Genomic DNA, 27,284 nt, shown 5'->3' with positions numbered 1-27,284 from the left:
TGGCTCCAAGCCAACAAAAGTCCACATACCGCCAGTAGCTTAATAGTTAGGCATAATGTCCTAAGTAGGACTCTTCTGGAACATCTTGATATATAATTGGTGTCGTGCTCCTGTAGTACCAGATACTCAGGAGGCTGAGGCAGGATTATATTTGAGCTCAAGAATTGGAGGCCTCAGTGAGCTGCAGTGAGCCATTATCTGGCCACTGCACTCCAGCCTGAGTGACAAAGCAAGACTGTGACTCTAAAAAAATACATAAACACATAATAAATACATAAATAACAATGATATTGATATACAAATTGTATTTTTGTTTAGAAAGGTTCTCAGAAAATCAATTGTAGTGACAATTCACAAATCCAGAATACTATTTTTGGAATTAGTCCTGTTATAACTAATCAGTGTAGACTGTGGTTTTTAATGAAGCCTAGCTTTGAGTTCCAGTAGTTCCACCTCTGATTTCCCTTATGATTCATGAAAATAAAAAAAGATAAAATAGCATATTAGATGCCAGTTATTTTGCTGGGTGCTAGGCACACGAAAATAAGTTAGAAATTTTTACTTCTTAAGGACTCAACAACCCATTGAACTAGTTCAACTCTTCCTACCTTTTCCTGTCATATTATTTTTTCTCCTCCTACTTCTTTACAGCCTTGATTTTGTGTAAATCGCAATGCGCTTGTTTAATGGTGCCTCTGTCTTCATTTTGGGCCTTCTGGCACATTATTATTTTTTTCAAGGAAAATCTCTTCATGAGGTCTGAAATTACCCTGGTAAAATTTTTTTCTTCTTGTGAAAATAGAGATTATAAGTTTCTTAAAACCTTTCACCTTTTACTTAATTAAGATGATCTATTGTTAGGCTATCTTCATTTGTAAGCACTTATATCAGTTACTATCATTGCAATAATGCTGCTAAAATATCCACTCTACTATAAAATAAGAAATATTTATTTATTTATTGCTCTTTCTTTCTGTGAATCAACAGCAATTAGTTCAATGTAGTGAACTGGCCTGTGGGGCTCTGCTTTACCCTGTTGGCTGGCTGGGCTTTGGCTCCAGAAAGTGGATCTAATTCAGGTCTGCCCCAGGGTCTCTTATCCTTGGAGCAGCAAATGGCAGGAGTACCAGAAAGGGAAGCAGAAATATGCAATATCTCTTACGAAGTACAAAGCTTTTGTCAAAATCTCTCAACAAAAGTCTTATGGGAACTTATGCTTATCTAGTATACATCATAGCATAAAGACTTCTGCTTTACCCACCCTAAACAAGAAATTATAATTTTTTAAAATGTGTATAAAGTATAAATACTCATGAAGTAAGAGATTTTTTAGACTTTGCCTCCCTTCACACTTGGGCCACTACATCTTTCTCAGACTTTCCTTGTCTTTCTCCCACACCCAATTCTTTTTACTCCAAACCTTAATACAAAAACAAAACCAAATGTTAATAAATACAAGCTTTTTCCACTAAGAAAAAAAAGTTGTAATTTCTATATGTGACTGGCGTTGGGTTAATGTGATTAAAAACATAATCGGCCAGTACAGAAAGCCTCTCCACAAAAGCAGTATAGAAAGAAAATTATTTTTATTATTGGATAAGCATGAAATGAGAACAAGATGTGCATCTTAGGCAATCTGCTAAAGAGATTGAAAAGCCAGAAAGACGTGTTACCCTTTTAAATAGCCAAGCAGATACAACCTCATTAGACACATGTTCTCACAAGAAACAGTAGTTTGTTCTCAAGTAAAAGAACTTGACACCACTGTTTGTCACTCATAGTTTATCTTAAATTCACCTATAATTGGGGTGACCATCTGTGTTGGCTTTATTCAAAGAAAAAATAAATTGGCTTTATCTGAAGAAAAAATAAACCCCATATCTTTATGGCAGGAGGTAGTTCTGCAACTTGGCATATGTTGGACTCCTACCTTTTCACAGAAACTGGGAGATTGCAGTGCTGTCTTCCTAGATGGTTATATTTTAAAGAAATGGCTTACACGTCCTTAAGGAAGAATTTTTAAATTTTGAGACTATTAAAGGGCTTATTTAGCATTTTAAAAATTACATATACTTGCAAAAGAAAAATCTGACAATTACAGTTTTTCTAAAGTGAGTTATCTGAGATAAAGGGAGGTGAAAAGGAGTCTCTTCTCTTATTTTCAACAGGAGTCTTCTCTCATTAAAACCCTAACACTAACCCTAACCCTAAAAAATTAAGCCTCTTTTCGTTTTGTGCTTGCCCTTACACTTTCCCTTCACTTTCTAATAGACAGGAGTTTATTCTTTGTTTATATTTACTTTGCCTAAAACAGCAGTCCCATTTTAATAATAGATACTAGAACAGGAAAACAAAATTGTTGATTGAGAGGAAAGTTAAACTAAATGACCTTTAAATAAGCTTCAGAAAGGACTAGAATTTTATAAAACTCTTTTCTTTCTCAATTTTAGTATTTTTTTCTGTTTCTCTGAATTGTAATTTCTTAATCAATATAATTTAAATTGAACTAAATACCTTTCATTAAAAACCAAGTGTTTATTCTGATTGTTTGTTAATCACATCTCTATTCTTCCAGTAATCTCTATTCAAAATGTAGTTAACCTTCCCCAAGCGTGTCCTAAGGAAACAAGTCTTAAGAGATACTCAGTGAACAGATGGCCGCGGGGTCAAATAAGCTTTAGAAAATATGTGTACACCTATTTTTCAATATAAAAGTCGTACTGGTTAATGGGCCATTAAATAATTTTGGTTTGGGGCCAACATTTACTTTTTATGTAATGGAATAGAAAATTTCAGAAGGCATTACTTATAATACATTTATGGGGATATGTATTTTACTATGAAACGTATTTTGCAGTTATTTATTTTTGTGTGTGTTTGTTGGCATGTGTATATGAGCTCGGATTGTTGGAAATAAATGAAGACCATGCAAATGGGAATAAATCAAGGCTACTTATTCAGAGCTTTCTGTAGCAAGGGAGGCAGCCACCATCACTTGTCTTTGGCAGAGACTTAAACGCAGTCAAGAGAATGGGAAAACTTTATTAGTTAATAAAGAAGGAAGGATTCAGTTATGCTTTAGCTGGAGGTTTTTGGTATGGGGAAGCTGAAGATAAGCTAGCTACCACGTTAGTGTGAGCAGCACATTTGGCTTTCTTGATTGATCCTAAGTTGGAAGTGGAAAGAAACATGAAAAAAGTTTTCTGTCATTGACCAAGTCCGACCTTTTTTGCTCTCGATTGTTGCAGAGGTTGTGGTTTAGTTCCCTGGATTTTTTTTTGTAGGTTTTTTTTGCTCTATCGTCCTGTTTGGTGTGGTGGTTTTCCAATATATATTCAGTCCTTCAGATTAAAAAAAAAAAAAAAAAAGAAGCATTACCCTAACAACCCATAAAACTTGTTACTTTGCCATATATTTTTATATTATTTTTAACCTTTAATCTTCCTTCTGCACTTCCCACTTCAAACAAGTTGCAAGTTTTATCCTGTCTGTTACCATGTTTTGGTCTCCACTCTAATATCCTTTATTTTGTGCTCCTTTAATTATTCCAAAATGAATCCCAATTCCTTTCTTGCGTCTGCTCTTCTCATAGATTTAAGATTAGTTTTAGTTTTGTTTCTTATTTATTCTAAAATTGCTAATATCTTTTCCAATCTTACACAATTAACTCCATTATAACCAGATGTAAGACATTCTCTACCATCTGGGTATAATTTACTTTTCCACTTATATCTTGAAAGCTTTTTCCTTTCAAACTTTGATATGCCTCCTTCTTCTTCTGTACTATAATTACTAAATTCCATATACAAAAGTCCTTTTCATTCATTAGGGACCATATGAAATTTAACTTCCTTGAATCAGTCTCCTATAATCATCCCTACACTCACCTAGTTTCAACATGAAAATAACTTTTTCTCCCTCTGAATTTCTAAAACACCTTGAATAAATAACAATCATTTGTGTCACATTGCCTTACATTTAAATTAATTGTATATCATGTAACTAATAATTTTCTTTATATACAGAATCTTTATTTTGGTCAACTTTTTAAATTTTACAGCCTATGTGCAGACTATGTCTGGCATGTACTATTGTTAAATAAATAAGGCCAAACATCTGACTTTTGAAATTTATTTTTCAGTCTCCAAACAGTATATCCCAAATACAACTTAATATTCTTTTAAAATTATAGAGTTCTTTCTAGAATTTATAAGAGTTAAAATGCGGATAATAGTAAGAAGTTACCTGTTATTTCAAATTCAAACTAAAGATTATTGATTCAGGATTCTCTTTTGAGAATAAATTTTTCCTGGACACACAGCCCCAGGAGCGTGAAAGATAGACAAACACAATAGAGAAGTAGTTTTCAAAACAACCCTCAAAGGTTGAGGAAAGAAATCAGCTCCAAAGACCTAGTATTATATTGTTGTTTTTATACCCATCACCAATTTTCCAAATTGCCTGTTTAACTGTTGTATTTATTTCCTTGAGAAAATACCTAGTCCCATTCATCTAGGAACCACCCCCCTCCCGCCGCACCACCACCACTACCACCCCCAATAATTAGCTCAGCACAGATGCAGTCTCAATAATGGTTTATTAGGTTGCAAGAGGTTGTGCTGATAGCCCTTTAATTTTATAAAGGACTAACACAGTATCAACATGATTACTTTTAAAGCAAAAGGCATCTGCTGCTCACTTGTTTCACTGTCACTTTTCTTAATGTAGTCTTTCATAATAAGTAAGAGTGGTTTATCCTTCTTACTTGCTTTATAGATATACAAAATTATATTTCCAGATAATTATAAGTTCATTTACCATCTAGTAGATACAGTAAGAGCAATAATGTTTCAAAGTTTTTGATGGTGACTATTGGGCTGTATGCAGTTAAGGTTCTTTCAAAAGAAAAATCCATTTACTTTGATTGCTATTATAGTTCAAAAAATATTGATCTATCCTTGCTTGCAAACTCTTTTAAACAGGTAGCTACAGGATTTAGACAAAAATCTATATTCCACTTTGTTCTTTCATTCAAGGTACTTCAGAGAAAATGTTTAAAAAATAGACAGGTTAAGTAAGGTTGCAAGTGAACAATGCCATGTTGAATCTTTTTATAAAAAGAAATGTTTCCTGATACTTCCATTTTACTGCTCTATTATTAGATTATAAACTCCTAAGAAAGTAGTGTCATGTCTCTTTAATTGACTGTATATCAAGTTTAGTTCATTTCACATGATAATAGTGTGACAGTTGCTATGTATGGAGTATTTGGTGTGCACAGCCAGAATGGTTTTCTCTCCTTATAATAAAATCAAAGGCCCTTAACATTGGACACAAGGGTAGCCCCACATCTCTCTAGTCTCGTGTCTTACCTAACCCTCCCTGCATCTGAACTCCAGTTCTACTGAGCTGTTGAATTTTTCCAAATGTGCTCTTTTGTTCACACTATCATTCCCTTGGTCAAACTACTCTCCATACCTAAAAAGTCACGAGCTACCTCTACATCACCCCCAATACACACACATCCATGCAAATCTTTCAAATCTTAGTTCATCTTTCTGTTATAATCTTTTTTGTCTTTCTACTTCTTGGCAGAATTGTTTATTTTTTTTCTCCATATTCCCAATACATTTTATGATAAAATTACATTATTTATTAGACTTTTTATGTACTTGTATGCTTGTCTTCTTAGTAGGCAATAATAAATTGTCTTATTCACTTCTGTTGTCCCAACATTTAGGACATAGTACAATTTCAAGATTTTTTTTTTGAATAGTGATAGATATTTGAATGAATAGATGAATGAATGAATGTGTGAACAAGAAAGGTCAGAGTATCTGAAAAATTGATAATGAAGCTATAATTAGCTGACTCACTGGATGATGGAATCTACTGATTTGAGATTTTTACAATGAAAGTGCCCTTGAGCATATATCTGAGTTTCCTATCCTCAAGTAGACTGTTACATTGTGCATTTGTCACAGACACAGTACCTAGTCCCAAACTGAGGACAAATGTCAAGGAGTTCCTTTGAAGAACTTTAAGTATATAAACAATGGGCTAAGTTTTTTTAAAATGCTACCTCAAGGCAAGTCAAGGAGGATTCCCTTATCACTTCATGTTTCATCTTTAATAGTCTAAACTATAATATACCCAGTAAGTCAGAATATATAAGAAATGCACTAAACTTTTGAAATCATCTCAGAGTTTTAAAACATTTACATTTTTTAGCAAAGGTGTTGACCAGAGTATAGTCCATTTTTTATCTTGAAAAATGTGTGCCAGAGAATTTTAAAATATATTCTGAATACACCTATTTGGCAGCTCTTATAGACTGTATCCTTTTTAAGGGCAGAGATTATGGCTTGCATCTTTTTTGTGATGCAGGGGAGGAAAAATTTCTCCTCTACCCTTTTTAGGGTATCTGACTAGGCCTAAGAAACTTACATGATATCTCATGTCAGATTAACGGGAGAAAAAGCATGTAAATTTTATAAAAATTTTAAATGTACATGAGAGTCCTCAAGAAATGAAGATCCAAAGAAGTGACCAGAGCAGAAAGCTTATATACTTTTTAGACAAAGAAATCCTAAATTCGTGAAGAAATGAGAAGACAAGGGGTTTGGGCTGGGGCATTAACTTGTGGGGAAGTGAGTAAGATATACTGGAGAACACTAGTCAAAGGTAGAGATTATTTTAGCAAGTTTGTTGTGCAGATTCATTTCAGTGTTGATTTCCACTCTCTAGTGATAAAGATGTTCTTTTCTTCCTAGGATATCTTTCTCATGGGAAATTTCATGGCTTGTTTTTAGGTAAAAGAGAAGAGGTCAGAAAGTTCGTATCTGCTGTTCTCAAGTGCCTTCATCTCAAAATAAACAATATTTTGGGGTAGCATGTCCCGAACTACTTCAGCAGCCATAGTTCCTACCCCAGTTCTTTGTACACAGTATATGCTCTGTAAATATTGAACTGAAGTGAATTGATCATACATTAAAGTTGATGAGACTAGCCTTAACATTTCCTTAACTAAACCACTTATAATCATCAAGAAGTGTGGATTTTTTAAATTCATTCCCACTATATCCCATTTAATTGTTTTGGACATGAAATAAATTTATAAGCTGGGGAACTATTATGTTAGAGCATTAGCTCTTGATTTTGAAATAGTCACATTGTGGAGCGTTTCAAAGTGTTATGAGGTTTCAGGAAATATATTACTACTAATAAATAATGTTTGAAGTACGTACATTTGTAAATTATATATTTCATTTTAATTAAGCTAGAGAACAATTAGTCTTATCCATAAAAATAAGCTTAATCCCACACTTGTGTATTTCAATGTATTCTCTTGAGAGAGAGAGAGAGGATGGAGCTACAATTATTAAGCAGAGTCTTGCATAAAACTCTCGGAAACTCACAACCAGAAAAAATTTTGATAATCATCGGGTTGCAGCAAAATGCTACATAATCCAAATTCATAGGTCCCATACCTATGAAGACTGGCAAACTCCTTGTCTGTCCACAGACATTTCGTGCAGGTCTTCTAGCCATCCTGTAAATTTGCGATCTAAGAGCTGAGTTGACGATATAAATGGCTTGTGATAAATACTCAGTGCAATCATAAAAACAACTTCACGTTAATGATATTTCAAGTAACATATTTAGAGTCAAAGAAAAGCATAGTTTTTTATCACAGTTAAAGAGTTCTGAATTCTGTTAAACATATTAAAATATTCTTGTTGGGCTTGGTGGTTCATGCCTGTAATCCCAGCTACTCAGCAGTTGAGGTGGGGGGATCATTGAGGTCAGGAGTTCGAAACCAAGTCTGAGCAACATAGTGAGAGCCTGTTTCTAAAAAAGAGAGAGAGAGAGAATTAAATATGTATTTTTTAGAGTGTCTCTATTTGCTGTATCTCAAAAGAGTGCATGATTTAACTACTAGCTGCAGATGTTCTATATTAGCTCTGTGTAAAATGGAAACCCGTGTCCCAGGGCATACTTGCTGCCATTCTAAATTTTGCATATTTTTATTAAATTGTTGTACTCAATCTGAGGCATTTTAAATGTCAGTGTTTACATCATGATTGTAAAACACTTCACACATTTATTTATTATTGTAAATATGCCTTTCATTACTTTCTGTGGGCAGTTATAGATTTCCTCCTCAAAACCTCTCTAAATATTGACTATAGTCTCGTTTGTCTGAGATGCTTGAAGGTGAGACATGGTTTAACTCACAAGGTCTTTTCTAGCTGCATGATTCTATATTTCACAACCTTTGTAAACCCGTTGCTGAGGTAATGAGATTCCCAAAAGGCTTCTTAACATTAAGAATCAGCAAAACTGCAAGTTTTACAGATCACTCTCTTTTAACCTACACAGTTTCTCTGTGAAGTATTTGAATTATAGTGTCAACTGTTGTCAAGTCAGAGATTGATCAATGAGTAGTTCTATGTCACTTTAAGGCCAGATGTTATTATTTGGCTGGAAATCTGATTGAATTTAAAATTAGGGTTTATTACTTTAGCCATCAAGGATCAAAGTTACTTGGTCACTTTAAAAAGTGTTGAAAAAGCCTTGTTTCTACAAATTTTAGCCACTGCCATTTAAACCTATATTTCCAATATTGCTCTGAACTCACTGCATGAGAGCATTCTGACTGCTCTGCTTTTATTTCCTCTGACCTCCCAGTCTAATTCATTTCAGCACCTCTTCCCCTGCTTCTGATTTCTTTGCCTGCACAGCAGGGAAGAAAAAAAGAGCAGAATCATGTGCTACTCTCTATGGGTGCTAACCTCTGACCCTGGGGATGGATCCTCACTTTGTTTCTTCCAAATTTAGTTGTGGATGATGCACAGATATTTAGCTGACAGTGGAGGCAACATGTATTAAAGAAATCCCAACCTCATTTTATATTCTGAAAGACAAAATTATTATAACAAAATCAAGTACCAGTAGGATGCTAGCTAAATTTTTTGTGTGTTTAATTGATATTTCAATGATAAATTATATTGTATCATTAAGAAACCCTGCAGGAAACAAATGACACATTCATACTGGGTGTGTGGGGGTAGAGCTTAAGGAAACTAACAAAGGATTGTACCATATCTCTAGCTATTGACAGCAGGGAGCCACTAGTAGCTTCAGGAATGATAACCACAGCTTGGAGGACAGCGGTATGGAGTGGGCTGCCTTACATAAGTGTGGCTTTCACTAACAGGACACAGCCATCACATAGCGATCAGGCAAAGAAGGAACTGAGGGGAAATACCCTACTTCACGCCCCTCCTGACCTCCTCACCCTACTCTCCTACCAAAATGCTGCTCACTGCCTGATAACTCTCTGTTCTCTTACCCACAGAAAGCCTGAGAGCATAGGGTCCTGGCTATCATGGGACCATGGGGATCAGTCTTTACCCCCCACCCCGGAAGTAGGAAAGAAGTGCAAAAAGCGAGCAGAGAAGGGGCAGAATGGCTTTAGTGGGTAAACAGAAGATATCCAGCACTCATATCTTTCAATTACAAGACAACTATACAATTTAAATCATTCAAAAGACGTAGCTGAAATATGGATTATCCTATGATTTTCTCTAACTATGAGATTTTGTGATTGCTTATATTATGTATTAAGCGGACCATATACTTTTGTATGTTCTTGATTGCCTTCCTTCCTTCTTTATACATTCCACAACTGTTTCTTGAATATTAGGCTCTGAGAGAGGGTATAGTGCTTAAGAACTCATATCCTGGAATGACACTGACTGTATTCAAAAGCCAGCTCTGCCACTTAAAATTTGTGTGTCGTTGGACAAATCCTTTAACTTTTGGGGTCCTCATAGGGCTGTGTCAGGATTAAATGTAAGAGCCTAGAACCGTGTGATACATAAATCATATGTAAGTGTTTAGACACTTGGGATACAAAGTAAAAAATAAATAAAAATAAATATAAACTCATGGGAAAAAGACAGATGAGTAAATCAATAATTATAGTAAAATACTTGGACCAATATAGGTATGTCCAAGGCCTATAGAAGCCCAAAGAAAATAGCAATTAACAGTGCTTGCAAGCTCAGGGCACTCATTATGGAGGATGTATAGTTTGACCTTAAGAAATAAATAGCAATTTCTTCATGTTTTATACACTCAGAGAATGCCTTCTTTTCAGGCAGAGAAGATGTCATGCCTCAGGGCACAGAGGTTGAAAGGGAACAACAAGTGCTTCAACATGTCTAACACTTAGGTTGCTTATGGGAAAATGATGGGAGACAGGACTGGAGAGGTAGGAAAGGCTGAGATCATGAAGGGCCCTCTATGGTAAGGAAGTCGAAGAGATCTAAATAGTTCCCAAGTTACCTTCAGAGTGTGCAGGGGTGGAACTTTGGTGGGCCAAAGGAGTAGAGACAAAAAAATTTCTTAAAATTAATATGACCATCCTTTCCCTTTCAACAGTGGACTCAAGGTATCCTTTCCTTTCCCTCATTTTTCCCAGTACCTGGCTTACAGTGTCTCATTCCATTCTTTCTCTCGATTATCATGGGACAATAGAAAAGAGTGTGGGCATGAGTAGAATCTCAGTTGAGCTATTTCTACATATATAACTGTGGTCAGCTTCTCAGAACTTCAGTTTTTTCATCCTTTAATGGGAAATAATGGTGACTGGCTAATAGCACTGCAATAAAAATTACATGAGTTAAAATGATTATAGTATTCAGCAATCCCCTTTTCAAAAAAATCACTAATGTCAGCTAATATTCTTATCTTCCTGGAAATTACATCCATGTTTCCACCTTAAGATACTCTAATCCCCTACCTTGTCTACCAATTTGTTTGCCAGTCGTCACTCACTTGTATTAGCTTTAATTCTCTAGAAAACATAGTTGAAGCAAAGATTATAGACTAATACTTTATTGAGGAGCTTGGGAGGTGTATTTCTAAGACAGCAAGAAAGAGGGGGAAAAGTTATATAAACAGAGAAATTGGAGAATCAAATATAAGGTGGTATGTTACTGAGCTGGCCACAGCCTCACAAGAAACACAGCTGAATGTTTAATTATGTGAGCCATGTGGACCAGTTGTGCTTTAGAACCATCTGTTTTGGGAGAGGAAGGGTTAGAAATTTATCTACTGGTCTCCTTCCCATCTCTTCTCTTGCTCCTTGATGGTAAAATTTCATCTCTCAGGCTTTAAATTCTCCACAATTTGATGCTGCTATCCAGCCCCTGTAGGAAGATTCCTGTGTTCCTGTGGAGTCAAATCTGGGTACTGGAGCTGCTATAGTAGTTTATGTTGCAATTGACAAGAAAACGGCAACTGTTACCATGGTTGTTCTGTCCGTAAGCCTGCATGAGCCTGAGACAACTGGTAACATTAGAAGAGGAGCCAACAGAAATGGTCATGAGTGTCACTTCTGTCATATTCTCTTCATTAAAATCTAGGCAACAATACTGGCCAATAATAAAAAAGAGGGGAATTTGACTCTACCTTTTGTTTTTTTGCTTTTGTTTGTTTGTTTTTGAGATGGAGTTCTGCTTTTGTTGCCCAGGCTGGAGTGCAGTGGCACAATCTCTCCTCATTACAACCTCTGCCTCCTGGGTTCAAGCGATTTTCCAGCCTCAACCTCCCGAGTAGCTGGGATTACAGGCACCTGCCACCATGCCCAGCTAATTTTTGTATTTTTAGAAGAGACGGGGTTTCTCCATGTTGGCCAGGCTGCTCTCAACCTTCTGACCTCAGGTGATCCGCCTTCCTTGGCCTCCCAAAGTGCTGGGATTACAGCCATGAGCCACCATGCCCAGCTGACTCTACCTTTTGATAGAAGCATCAAATAATTTGCAGACATGTTTTAAAACTACTACGGAATGATTTGAGAACAAGTTGCAAACATAATAGCTCATCATTCCCAAATATTCAGTTTGAATTGCACCAAAACAAAAAACTCCTTTATGTAACCACAAAACAACCATACAAATCAGAAAATCAACATAAATAAAACACTTCCAAACAAATTAAAACCCTTCCAAATTTCACTAACTACACACACGCACGCACACACACACACGTGTATGTTTTTTTCTTGTCCAGGATTCAACCCAAGAACCTGCATTGCATTGTTGTCATGTCTCTTTCATTTCCTTCAATCTGGATGAGTTCCTCAATGTTTCCCTATCTGTCATGACCTTGATAGCTCTAAAGAGTATAAGCCTTTTATTTTGTGATATATCCCTCAATTTGGGTACATACAATATTTTCCCATATCCAGGCATAGGCCACACATTCTTGACAGATGTATCACAAAAATGATGCTCGCCTCTCAGGACATCACACCAGGAGGCAAACAACGTCAATATACCTGAATATACGTCCTATGCGATCATTAGTCACCTAGTAAAATTGATGTCTTCCAGGATTTTTCATGAGAACATCACCAATTTCACCTTTGTGATTTATATGTGTTTCACAGAGAGGTAATATCTTATTTTTTATCAAACATCCAGCCAAAAATCCACAACCACTGTGATGGTTGCCAGATGTTAGTTTTCTCTTTTTTTCCCCACTTATTCTGTATTTATTAACTGTCCCTCTGTGTTCGGAATTGGTTCCTTCCGGTGGGTTCTAGGTCTTGCCGACTTCAAGCATGAAGCCGTGGACCCTAGCGGTGAATGTTACAGATCTTAAAGATGGTGTGTTTGGAGTTTGTTCCTTCAGATGTTCAGACGTGTCCGGAGTTTCTTCCTTCTGGTGGGTTCGTGGTCTTGCTGACTTCAGGAGTGAAGCTGCAGACTTTTGCAGTGAGTGTTACAGCTCTTAAAGGTACTGCGGACCCGAAGAGTGAGCAGCAGCAAGATTTATTATCAAGGGGGAAAGAACAAAGCTTCCACAGCATGGAAGGGGACGCGAGCGGGTTGCTGCTGCTGGCTTGGGTGGCCAGCATTTATTCCCTTATTTGGCCCCACCCACATCCTGCTGATTGGTCCATTTTACAGAGTGCTGATGGGTCCATTTTATAGAGTGCTGATTGGTCCGTTTTTACAGAGTGCTGATTGGTGCATTTACAAACCTTTAGCTAGACAAGGAGCGCTGATTGGTGCGTTTTTACAGAGTGCTGATTGGTGCATTTACAAACCTTTAGCGAGACACACAGCACCGATTGGTGCATTTACAATCCTTTAGCTAGATAGAAAAGTTCTCCAAGTCCCCACCTGACCCAGAAGCCCAGCCGGCTTCACCTTTCACCTCTTTATGGAGAAAATGTTTTCCCTTCTGTCCCATTTATTTATTTATGTCAGTATGGATGAATGCATTTAAATTTTATTCAATGTGTTGTACTCTGCCATTATCTTTGTTTGATGGTTAAATTGCACCAGAATAGCCAATGGAGCTTCTTCAAGCTGGCCTCTATGTCCTTTTGATATGTCCCCACCATCATTCTTTAAGTACACCCTACTTTTATTGGCACAACAAGGTATTCCAGTTTCATCTTATCTTTTTCCTTGTCCATCCCCTAAAATCAGCTCCCCTGGTTCCCTTTAGTGAAGAATGGTATGTAGAAACCAAATCTGGGTACTCAATATACTTGTTTCTATAGAGCTTTATTGCTTTTAGGACTCTCAGTGGATGCAGCTAGAAAATATGTGCACATATATGTGTACATATGTGTGTATGCATGACATATGTATGTATATCCACCCATTTATATCTAGTTATATTCATATTTTAAACTTGAGTTCACACGATTTTTTAACATTTCAGTTTAACCCCTTAGGGTTCTTTGTAGTCTTTTCTGTTTCTACATTTGTAAATGCTCTTTTTTGTTAGTGAGAAGTCTGTCTGCCCTTATCTTCAATATTTCTGATTCTCAACCTTCTTCACATATACTTAACCTCCCAACCTTACCGGCTGCCTTTTTAGCCTCACTTCTACTTCTCTGGCCCTCATCCATAATACCACGTACTTGACCCTAATATCTCCTCAACCTCTGGTGCCACTGCCACTGCCACCTAACTCTACCCATTCCACTTTGAAAGAAAAGGGAAGAAAAAGGCTTTATACCTTTTCTGATACTGCCCTCTCTATTCAGGATACTTTTTCTTTCTTTTGTCCTTCTTAGTCTACTCGGTGAGATAACTCTGAAAATAGCTTTAGGGTTACCTCTTCTGTGCAGTCTTTACCTCTTTTCCAACCTCCAAATCCAAGGAGACTTAGCTAATACCTCCTTTGTGCCTTCAGTTAAGGACAGGGGCTACATTTTATTTGTCTTTATATCCTTAGTACCTTATTTTTTTTTATTATACTTTAAGTTCTAGGGTACATGTGCACAACGTTTGTTACATATGTATACATGCGTCATGTTGGTGTGCTGCACCCATTAACTTGTCATTTGCATTAGGTGTATCACCTAATGCTAACCCTCCCCCCTGCCCCCACCCCACAACAGGCCCCGGTGTGTGATGTTCCCCTTCCTGTGTCCAAGTGTTCTCATTATTCAATTCCCACCTATGAGTGAGAACATGTGGTGTTTGGTTTTTTGTCCTTGTGATACTTTGCTGAGAATGATGCAAACATCCACGTCCCTACAAAGATCCATGTCCCTACAAAGGACATGAACTCATCCTTTTTTATGGCTGCATAGTATTCCATGGTGTATATGTGCCACATTTTCTTAACCCAGTCTATCATTGATGGACATTTGGGTTGGTTCCAAGTCTTTGCTATTGTGAATAGTGCTGCAATAAACATATGGATGCATGTGTCTTTATAGCAGCATGATTTATAATCCTTTGGGTATATACCCAGTAATGGGATGGCTGGGTCAAATGGTATTTCTAGTTCCAGAGCCTTGAGGAATTGCCACACTGTCTTCCACAATGGTTGAACTAGTTTACAGTCCCACCAACAGTGTAAAAGTGTTCCTATTTCTCCACATCCTCTCCAGCACCTGTTGTTTCCTGACTTTTTAATGATCACCATTCTAACTGGTGTGAGATGGTATCTCATTGTGGTTTTGATTTGCATTTCTCTGATGGCCAGTGATGATGAGCATTTTTTTCATGTGTTTGTTGGCTGCATAAATGTCTTCTTTTGAGAAGTGTCTGTTCATATCCTTTGCCCACTTTGTGATGGGGTTGTTTGTTTTTTTCTTGTAAATTTGTTTGAGTTCTTTGTAGATTCTGGATATTAGCCCTTTGTCAGATGAGTAGATTGCAAAAATTTTCTCCCATTCTGTAGGTTGCCTGTTCACTCTGATGGTAGTTTCTTTTGCTGTGCAGAAGCTCTTTAGTTTAATTAGATCCCATTTGTCAATTTTGGCTTTTGTTGCCATTGCTTTTGGTGTTTTGGACATGAAGTCCTTGCCCATGCCTATGTCCTGAATGGTATTGCCTAGGTTTTCTTCTTGGGTTTTTATGTTTTTAGGTCTAACATTTAAGTCTTCAATCCATCTTGAATTACTTTTTGTATAAGGTGTAAGGAAGGGATCCAGTTTCAGCTTTCTATGTATGGCTAGCCAGTTTTCCCAGCACCATTTATTAAATAGGGAATCCTTTCCCCATTGCTTGTTTTTCTCAGGTTTGTCAAAGATCAGATGGTTGTAGATGTGTGGTATTATTCCTGAGGGCTCTGTTCTGTTCCATTGGTCTATGTGTCTGTTTTGGTACCAGTACCATGCTGTTTTGGTTACTGTAGCCTTGTAGTATAGTTTGAAGTCAGGTAGCATGATGCCTCCAGCTTTGTTCTTTTGGCTTAGGATTGTATTGGCAATGCAGACCCTTTTTTGGTTCCATATGAACTTTAAAGTAGTTTTTTCAAATTCTGTGAAAAAGGTCATTGGTAGCTTGATGAGGATGGCATTGAATCTATAAATTACCTTGGGCAGTATAGCCATTTTCACGATACTGATTCTTCATATCCATGAGCATGGAATGTTCTTCCATTTGTGTCCTCTTTTATTTCGCTGAGCAGTGGTTTGTAGTTCTCCTTGAAGAGGTCCTTCACATCCCTTGTAGGTTGGATTCTTAGGTATTTTATTCTCTTTGAAGCAATTGTGAATGGGAGTTCACTCATAATTTGGCTCTCTGTCTGTTATTGGTGTATAAGAATGCTTGTGATTTTTGCACATTGGTTTTGTGTCCTGAGACTTTGCTGAATTTGCTTATCAGCCTAAGGAGATTTTGGGCTGAGACGATGGGGTTTTCTAAATATGCAATCATGTCATCTGCAAACAGGGACAATTTGACTTCCACTTTTCCTAACTGAATACCCTTTATTTCTTTCTCCTGCCTGATTGCCCTGGCCAGAACTTCCAACACTATGTTGAATAGGAATGGTGAGAGAGGGCATCCCTGTCTTGTGCCTGTTTTCAAAGGGAATACTTCCAGTTTTTGCCCATTCAGCATGACATTGGCTGTGGGTTTTTCATAGATAGCTCTTATTATTTTTAGATACGTCCCATCAATACATAATTTATTGAGAGTTTTTAGCATGAAGGGCTGTTGAATTTTGTCAAAGGCCTTTTCTGCATCTATTGAGATAATCATGTGATTTTTGTCTTTGGTTCTCTTTATATGCTGGATTGCATTTATTGATTTGCATATGTTGAACCAGCCTTGCAAGGATGTTCAAAAGTATCTCTAAAACATATTGTTTGGTTAAAAAGGAGAAAGAAAATAATATTGACAGTATAATAAAAGTTAAAGTATGATATACATAACACAATACTGCATAGTTTTTGTGAAGATAATTTTTAGGTTTCTATAACGTTACATATTAGATATGTCTGTGTGGAATTATACATCTTGAAAAAAGAACTGGAAAGATACACATTAAATTGGTGCTAGTGGATAACAGAGGAGCTAGGAATGTGTCAGTATTTGAGTGTCAGGAGAGACTTAGCATTTGCTAAGACCATTGGAAAAGCTCAGTATTAGAGTGGAAGTGACCCGATTTTCCAGGTTCCGTCTGTCACAGCTTCCCTTGGCTAGGAAAGGAAAATCCCTGACCCCTTGTGCTTCCTGAGTGAGGTGATGCCTTCCCCTGCTTCGGCTCACACTCGGTGGGCTGCACACACTGTCCGACAAGCCTCAGTGAGATGAACCTGGTACCTCAGTTGGAAATGCAGAAATCACCCGTCTTCTGCTTCGCTCACACTGGGAGCTGTAGACTGGAGCTGTTCCTATTTGGCCATCCTTATTTTATTTTTTATAAATATTAGAAACTAAGTAAAGGTTTTATAAATGAATAACTAGTGAATGAAAAGTTCTCCACAATAGCATGGTGATTAAGACTTTATAAAAATCTCAATTTATGAGATTTAGGTGGAGAGACAAAGCCTAACCATATCACTACTGCATAGGAAAAAAACCCAAAAGCAGTGTTACATACTAGGTGCATGTTTACTTTACTTACTGTGTATTGTTTCCAGTCTATGTTAGAGAGTATTTACAGCTTCATTAAATTTAAAATATGTTCTTAATTTTAAAGAGTGTTGTATTAATGGAGCAAAGAAAAAAATAGAGTTTCAAATAGATTAACACTCACTCTCAACACTAAACCCAAGATAATAGAAAGCGTATTTAAAAATATAATAATGACTAAGAATGAAAAGAGAACATTTACAATTGTTTTGAGGCTGTAGGGTATTCCTAAGATAAATAAGTGTAAATAAACATATAAATAAATGTTTGTTATCATTGTTTTTTCTTGCTCAAACACAAGTTTTGTTCTCCCCTAAACTACTTCCTCCTGTGCCTTTTCATCATAGGCATAACAGCCATTATGATTCACTGTATAAATTTTCAAATATGCTGCATTAGAATAAAGTTCACTCTGCTACTCTCTAAATACACTTCTCATTAAATCCAAGGAAACAGAGTTAAAAGAGCAATAAGAAAATATTTTAAAATAATTAGAGTAGATACCTTCACAAAATTAAGGGGGGAAATTGTATTTATGGAAAAAAAGAAGACTATGAAACAATAAGAAATAACAATCATTAAAGTCATTAAATATTTAGGAAATGACAACATAATTTTTCAGTATTTAAGGTAATTTGTAATTAAATAAAACTAAACAGTGAATTAGTAAACTGAAATTTATAATATATAAATATATAAATGTGTGTGTATATGTGTATTATATACATATGGAATTATTGAATTCTTCTAGAATGCAAAATAGAGAATCCCTAAAAATGAGAAGTTGAAAGTTTGCGCAACATGAGGGCTAAATTCCTAATTTTCAACATTCAATATGAACAAGTTTCAGAAACATGAGGACATATAATAAACAACATTTTAAAGGAAATAATGGTAACAATTTCCTAGAACTGAAAAAAAAGTTACAAGGTATTTGACAGAAGTAGTCTATTGAGCACCTAGTAGAAAAAATAGATTTAAAAATGAGTATATTTAAAAACAGCAAGTCTGAAAAGGAATCCTAGCTCTTAAAAGAATGGAGGAGAAGGGGCAGATTAATTATGAAAGAATTAAAATCAATTTGATATCATATTTCTTATCAGGAATAGTGGATGGATAATAGACTAGAGGAAAACATCTTTAAATGCTGAGGGCAAATAATTTTGAATTAAAATTTTATACCTTACCCCCTATTATTCAACAGTGAAGGCAAAATAAAGACATTTTCAGATGAAGAAGGACCTATTCTTTCAATAACAGAAACAATTTTTCGAAGAAGGTATAAGAGTAATAAACTGAACCTAGCAATAGTGTCACCCCCAATCACCTAGCACTTTAACACAACTACTTCCTGTTTAATCTTTTCCTTTTCTGTACTATATATCACATTCTAAAATAAGACATTATTTGTTTATTATTTATAGTTTGCAAACATCCAATGGAATACATGCATTCATGGAGCAGAAATCCTTGTCTGTTTATTTATTGGTGTATCTTAGATCCCTGGAACAGCATCTGACACATGTAAATACAGTAGTCCCCCCTTGTTCATAAGGATATGATTCAATAGCCCCAATGGGTGCTTTAAACCACAGATAGTCCTGAACTTTATACAGGCTATGTTATTTTCTCTCGATAGATAGATAGATAGATAGATAGATAGATAGATAGATAGATAGATAGATAGATAGATATAAAGATTAATTTGTAAATTAGACACAGAAAGAGATTGATAACAATAACTAAAAATAAAATAGAAGAATTATAATAATATACTGTCATAAAAGTTATGTGAATGTGCTCTCTGTCTCTCTCAAAATAATTTACTGTACTATACTTACCTATTTTTGGACCACATTATCTCAGGTAACTGAAACCACAGAAAGCAAAATGCAGATAAAGAGGAATTAGTGTATAAGACAATCAACTGTTTGTTGTATAAACTAACTAACTGAATGATGCTTTAAAGTATGTGAAATGAATTTGATTCAACTATTAAAAAATGTTGTCAAATCCACATTTGGAACTTTAACAGGCTTCTTCAAGAAGTTGTTGGAGCCAGTAGACATTGAAGGCATAAATAATTTCAACTTGATTAATATAACAAATTGAACTGAATATATTTCACTTATTTATCCACTGCAAGACCTCGATATACATATACTGAATACCAAAGAAACAACATTAGAAAGCAGCAACAAAATGATAGATCAACCCATAAATTTTAAAACACTCAGACATTATTTATGAGTTACAAAGTAAACCAAAACATAAGCTACAAACTTTTCACAAGTGAACAATAAAATCTCTCCATATCAATTTAGAGCTAAATTTATTTTATTTTTTAATAAATAAGAAAGGCTGAAAATATACTAAAAAAGTTCTAAGATTTCAACTCAAGAAAACAGAAAAAAGAATAGCAATATAATCCAAAAGAAAACTGAAGATGGAATCCAAAAATATAAAAAGAAAAGATGTTTAAATTAAAATAAAAACAATAGAATTTGCCGGGCGCAGTGGCTCACACCTGTAATTCCAGCACTTTGGGAGACCAAGGAGGGCGAATGATTTGAGGTCAGGAGTTAGAGACCAGCCTGGACAACACAGTGAAACCCCATCTCTACTAAAAATACAAAAACTACTTGGGCATGGTGGCACGAGCACCTATAGTCCGAGCTACCCAGGAGGCTGAGGCAGGAGAATCTCTTGAACCTGGGAGGCATAGGTTACAATGAGCCGAGATCACGCCACTGCACTTCAGCCTGGGTGACAGAGTAAGAGACTCTGTCTCAAAACACAAACAAAAAAACAAACAAACAAAAAAACAATTTATCAACAGCAAACACTGGTTCTTTAAGCCACCTAATAAATCTGACAACCTTTTGTAAATATGAAGAAAGAAAACCAGAAAGTAAACACTAATAGCATTAGAAGTCAGAAATAATTATGGCATATTTATAAAGGAGATATTAAAAAATCTTGTAACAATTCTGTTACAACTAAACTACCAGCAAACCTTGAAAAATGTCACTTCTCTAATGTTTATAAGTTGCCAATATTGGCCCAAAACCCTCTCCAAGAAACAAGCAAAAGAAAAAACAAACAACAACATGAAACACTTAAATAGGAAAATAACCTTTGAAGAAAAAAAATGGTACTCAGATGGCTACCAAACTCATCCATGCAAGAATCCAATTTTTTTCTGGTACAAATTAACCTAAAGACTAGTAAAATGTGGAAAATTACTAACATCTTCCCTTGATATTAAAACTAGATATGAAGAGCAGAAGAAAAAAGTTATAGACCAATGTCCCTGATAGATAAAAAAAGTCTAAGAAAATATAAAATCAAATCCAGTTTTTTAAAGAAACGTTTAAATGCATGTATGATTTCTGCTAAGGATACAAGGATGTTCAATAGTATCTCTAAAACATAGTGTTTGGTTAAAAAGGAGAAAGAAAATAATATTGACAGTATAATAAAAGTTAAAGTATGATGTACATGAAACAATACTGCATAGTTTTTGTGAAGATAATTTTTAGGTTTCTATAATGTTACATATTAGATATGTCTGTGTGGAATTATACATCTTGAAAAAAGAACTGGAAAGATACACATTAAATCGATGCTAGTGGATAACGGAGGAACTAGCAATGTGTCGATATTTGAGTGTCAGGAGAGACTATAACTTTATCTTAAAGTTACATTTTTTTAATTTGTATTTTTTTTTACTATTGTTTGTTTGAAGACAACTGTATTACTAAGATTTTATGTGACTTTTAAGGCAAATCAACCACCACAATAATTTACTGCTAACATTCATAGTTAAACAGTGATGATCCCAGATATTTGAAGTTTCTTTGGATACATCTCAAAGGTTGTTTTAATGGTGTTAAAATATTTTTTTCAATCTCTTTCCACTCATCCAAGAAACATTTATTAAGGAACATAGCTGAGTAATTTGGAATTCAAAACTGATTGCTTCCTTTGAGAAGATTTTTTTTTTGTTGGGGGGGGGGGTCTAGTTGGGAAAATAATTCAACCAACTAGTACCAGAGTGTGGAAGAGATCTTAGGTGAGAGGTATTCATTGATTTCTGTAGGAGTATAGACACAGAGAATGTTCCCTCGTGTCCTGGTCATGATTCAGGGATTTACCGTATCCTGTAGAAATGACAAGAATAAGAAAAGTCTTTGGGATTTGAGGGAAATATACATTTATGTCTATGTGTGTGTACATTTATGTATATATGTAGTACAGAGAGAAAATATGAGATCTTATCATAATTTTTCTGTTAAGTACATGGCCTCTGGCACCTCATTAGCTCTGATAACCTCAGATTCTTCATATATAAAAAGAAAGAAATATACTAATTATTATCTAAAGATCATTTTATCATGCCTGTAAGAATGGCCAAAAAAAAAAAGATTGGAGAATATATTTATTTTTTGTTCTGAAATATCTCCACAACAAAGAGCATATATCTACCTAACTTGTATTATGGGTATCATATGCCTGCAACCCTTGGAAGGTGACTTTTATCTTCTATTTTTCCAGAAATTGAGAAAGAAAGTTGTGGTGATCCTGGTACACCCTTATATGGAATTAGAGAAGGCGATGGATTTTCTAATCGTGATGTTTTAAGGTTTGAATGCCAGTTTGGGTTTGAATTAATTGGAGAGAAATCCATTGTTTGTCAAGAGAATAACCAATGGTCTGCAAACATACCCATCTGTATCTGTGAGTACCAAATGCTTTGCTTCCAGATAGCATATGTTACCCTGTCCTTGCATATAATTGCTTTTGTAATTAATTGCAAAGAGCTGCAACCGTGTAATTATTTTTGAGTGAGTAGCACTTTGTGATGCTATCTTTAACAAGTGTGCTTATGCCAAATTATAAATTTTATTACAGATTTAAATAAAGTTAACATAGTTCACTTGGTAATGGCAAAATATATATTACGTGTGTTCTTACAACATTTTATTTCATGACATTTTATACTTTCTAGAGAGCATACTTCTTATGGAAATTATACATCTGAATGAATTCTAATAGACTCATTTATTTTAATAAGATAGTATATGTTTATTTGCAATCAAAAACATTAAAATATTTAAAGCTTATATTGTATGTATAATGCACTAACTTATTTTTGCTTGTAGATGTTAACACTAATGCATGAGGTGCCATTTTTTTATATTGCATACAATACAATTCATTAACATTAATGATATACAATATGCTTGGATTAAAATAATGTATTCAAATACATTAAGATATTGCAGTTTAACTACAGCAAAAGTATAATTTGTATTGCCTATTCACGCACTTGGTGTGCTCAATTAAATGCTGTCTTCAATACATTAAAATGAAGTGGATATTTTTAGAATCTGGCAGAAATTTCCCTAATAACAATATATTGTGTTTGCTCTTCAGGAAGTCTAGAAGAGGAAAAGTGCATACGTCCCCTTCACAGTCCCCTTTTGTTTTAGTTCTTATCTTTAACCAAGATTACTTGGTGAAGTTCTTGTAAGAGAAGAAAATATATTAGGAGGATCTGATTCGATTTACCAAAGCTTAGTAATACTTCAAAATACTTTTGTTGACAATTTTTAATTCTAGGTGTTCTTCTAGGAGGACAACGTTGGCTTAATACTGGAGAATCCATTAGTGTAATATATCACATCAAAAATAAAAATATTTTAAGAGCATTTTAACAGATTCCAAAAGGCATTTAGTGAAAATACTGAAAATTTTGCTGACTAAAACCAATTTTTAAAACATTCTTGAATACTAGAAAACATTTTTTACTATTTTAAAATTAGGTCTGATATCCTGATATATGATAAAAATGTAGCGATTAATAATGTTTTATATACCAGTAATAACTAACTTGGAAATACATTTAAAAGAGAATACATTCAGAAAATACAATTATAAAATACAAATAAATAATCCTCACATATTTCAAATAACTCATACAAAAAATTATAAAACTTACAAGAAAATAAAATTTTATGAGAACGAAATACAGATAGAAGCCATGTTCCTGAATGATAAATCACTATTTCAAATACATGAGTTATACAGAAATTGCTTTGCAATTTTAGTCAAAATTCTAACATAGTTTTTCTGGGAACTTGACGTATTGTATTGACATATAGCTAAGTAATAAAACAGGCAGGAGTAGATACAAGAATTTTGTAAAAGCAAAGTGCTTCTGTGGATGCTTAAGTATCATCTTAAGTTATGAGTGTGGTACTAACAAATTGTGAAGGGAAGTTACATAAAAACTGCATCTTATATAATTAAGAATTTAAAGTATGATATAAGCATCTATCTATCTGATAAGGGCCATTAAAGTGTGTCTTTGGTTAGCTCTTGCTCCAAGTGGGGATCATTTAGATCAGGAGATGGCAAACAGATTGTGGGCCAAATCCATCCTCCTTTCCATGTATTTTTAAGCAAAGTTTTATTGGAACATAACCAAACACTTTCATTTACTGATTGTGCATGGCTGCCTTCCAGCTACAATTGCAGAATTAAATAGTTGCAAAGGAGATCGTATGGTTTGCAAAGCCAAAGCATTTATTACCTACTCCTTTTCAGAAAAAGATTTCCGACCCTTAATTTAGATCAGGAGTTATAGGATCAAATTATTCCAGGATGCAGGCAGGAAACAGTGTGAAGAGGGATTAGGAGTAAGTATGTGTGCACCCATTTTGGAAGTGGTAGGAAACTGGGGTGCCTTAACTTTTCAAGATAAGCTAGAATAAAAGATGTTTTCCCCTTAAATATGAAATATGATGATTTTTCAATGTGATTTCAAATTTTTATGGGGGCAGAAGAAAAAAAAATCAAGCCAAACACATCTGCAATCTGAATTCAATCCAATGACTGTCAGTTTGCAAGCTTCAGTTCAACTCATAAAATTATGCAGAAAATAAATAGATTCAAAGTACAAAATATTTTTGAATGATAAAATGATAAAAGTTATAAAGAGAGATATATCTGTTGGTAGATGCAGCTATACCTATGGTTTTATATTTGTGTAGATAAATAGATATTGGTATAATGTCTGAATGTTAATAAAACATATGATGCTAAAAGATTGTAAGAAATGCGAACAATTATTTTAATATTCAAATTAAAACAAATAATTTATGCCAAAATACTAAAATTACAAAATAATGAGAAAGTTTTATGCATATTATAAACTAAGAGATCATAAACTTAAATGATCAGTTTATGAGCAGATAATTTTTTAAAAGAAAATGAAAATGTCTAACAAAAGTAAGAAATCTTCAACTTCTCTAGTAGTCAAAGAAATGCGAGTTAAGACAATGAGTTATCATTTTTCTTATCAATGGAGGAGAAGGAAAATAATCACAATATTTTATACTGTTACGGGTGTTGTATTCTCTGATATTTCTGTTATTTTTCAATAACGTCAAAATAACTTTAAATCAGAAATTTAGCAAAATGTTTTGAGGCTTAAATTCATATCCTTTGTCATACTAAGTGCTTTTTTTGAAAATGTATACCAAGGAAATAATGAACAAAAAAGCTTTCTTCAAGAATAGAGTCAGTGTTATTTATATTGCAAAAATTTTAAAATACAATTTTAAATGTCAAACACTAGAAGAACAGTTCAATTAATGTTTATATGTCCATATAAATTAATGGAGGAGAGTTTTAACTAATAAGTATAAATTTTGCTTAAAAACTCGACTTGAAAAACTCACATATTAAATATAAGGAAAACATAATTTAGTACAAAATGTAGGGAATTCAATTTTTTAAAAAATATGTAATAAAAGGCCGGGCACGGTAGCTCACGCCTGTAATCCCATTACTTACGGAGGCCGAGGCAGGTGGATCACTTGAGGTCAGGCGTTCGAGATCAGCTTGACCAATATGGCGAAACCCCATCTCTACTAAAAATACAAAAATTAGCTGGGCGTGGTGGGCGTGCCTGTATTCCCAGCTACTCCGGAAGCTGAGGTGGGAGAATCTCTTGAACCCGGAAGGTGGAGGTTGCAGTGAGCCTAGATGGTGCCACTGCACTCCAGCCTGGGCAACAAAATGAGACTCCGTCTCAGAAAAAAAAAAAAAAAATGTAATGAAAACTTTGGAAGATAATATATCAATACTTAAACTTTGATTTCCTTTGAGTAGTATGTCATTTTCTTTTCTGTTTCTTTATTTTTCCTCTGCTTTCTAAATGTTCTATGTGAACTTTCAAATCACATGTTTTTAAAAGTTAAAAAAACTGGAGGAGAAAGACTTCATTTTAGTGTGATGGCAAGAGCTCTCATTTAGCTGTTCTTCAGGTTTTAGCCACTAATGGCTGTTAAAGAAGTTAGTTTATCTCCTTATTTGTGTAGTAAACTATCAGAGCATCCATTGCCACCATAGAAATGGAACTCACACATTGATAACCATCCCCTTGAGTGTTTTCTGAGCTACCGGATTCTTGTTCTGTTAATATCCACATAATATTTTTTGTCTTCAATCATTTCAAGAACCTTATTGCTTTCTATGGGAACTTCTGTATATTTTTTCACTTTTTAAACACTGAAATGAACACTTTATACAGTCTAACATAAACAAGATATATGTCAAAAAATTGCTATTATTCCAATTATATTTTTGTGCATTATTTAAGGGTAGAGCCTTAAGTTTATCCAAAGTACTAGTTGCCTTTTTCAATATGTAAAAATGGTAACCGTTTTGTTCTGTTTTATAATTTACATAATTTAATATTATCTTATACTGCTAATTGATTATCATAATTGTAGAATATGACAAAATAAGATGAAATATTATTTTTGAATATTTATTGTATTTCATAATCTTCCTGTTTCACCAGTTCCCTGCCTGTCTAACTTTACTGCACCAATGGGAACAGTTCTTTCTCCTGATTACCCAGAAGGGTATGGAAATAATTTAAATTGCATCTGGACGATAATCTCTGATCCAGGGAGCCGGATACATCTTTCTTTCAATGACTTTGACCTGGAATCCCAGTTTGATTTCCTTGCTGTTAAAGATGGTGACTCTCCAGAATCCCCAATTCTTGGAACCTTTACTGGGGCTGAGGTGCCTTCCCATCTTACTAGTAATAGTCACATACTGCGATTGGAATTTCAGGCTGACCACTCAATGTCAGGACGTGGCTTTAACATCACTTACAACAGTAAGTTTCTGTTTCTGTTTTTTTCCCATATAATATATTTCTATAAATTTGAGTTGAAAAGTGATCATGTATATTGGTTCCCTTGTTTCCTAGTTAAGAAAATTTGTAAAAGCTGTAAATCTCATTGTGCCAAGGATGGTCATTTCTTCCTTCATTTCCAATCACATTTTACTCTCTATTATATTAATACATTTCCTTTTTTGTGAGAGGCCCAATATCAAGGAAATATGTTTCAAATATTGTTATTATGTAAGCCAATATATTTATAATTGTTATATCAGCCAACATATTTATATCTTAGCATAAACCCAAACCTATTATTGATCACATACTTTGTTATTTGTATGCAACATAAAAGAGAAATAGAGTTTCCCTTAAAGATATTCATGCACCAATAGATATTAAACAACTAATCATGGCATAGAATTAAAATTCCAAAGAAAAAATCACATGGCTACAGTAGCATCATAGAAAAGGAAATAATTAACTTTGGATCTTAGCCTTGTTTTAGGTTTTATAACTGAGCCACAGTACTCACATTAGTGAAACCACAATGGATTGCTATAAAGAATAAATTAGGTGATGCATGTGAATAATTTAGCACAGAGTACATATTACTTAGTAAAAGCTTAATAAACATTAGCCATTATTGTTTAGTTGGTTTTTGAACAATT

The 27,284-nt window shown here is 34.6% G+C and overlaps 1 protein-coding gene across 9 annotated transcripts in view; it reads left to right on the top strand.

Moving 5' to 3' along the window:
* The window catches only part of CSMD3 (CUB and Sushi multiple domains 3), a 1,214,012-nt gene that overhangs the window by 724,924 nt on the left and 461,804 nt on the right, over positions 1–27,284 (top strand). For all 9 annotated transcript variants that reach the window (NM_001363185.1, XM_017013010.2, NM_052900.3 and 6 more), the window contains 2 exons: positions 21,966–22,148; positions 26,284–26,610. In NM_001363185.1, the coding sequence (NP_001350114.1) occupies positions 21,966–22,148; positions 26,284–26,610 (510 nt within the window). The remainder of the gene's footprint in view (positions 1–21,965; positions 22,149–26,283; positions 26,611–27,284) is intronic.

Source organism: Homo sapiens, chromosome 8 (assembly GCF_000001405.40).
Source record: "Homo sapiens chromosome 8, GRCh38.p14 Primary Assembly".
In the NCBI taxonomy this organism is placed as follows: Eukaryota; Metazoa; Chordata; class Mammalia; order Primates; family Hominidae; genus Homo; species Homo sapiens.
Note: the sequence above shows the minus strand (reverse complement) of the source record. Positions and strands in the feature narration are given on the sequence as shown.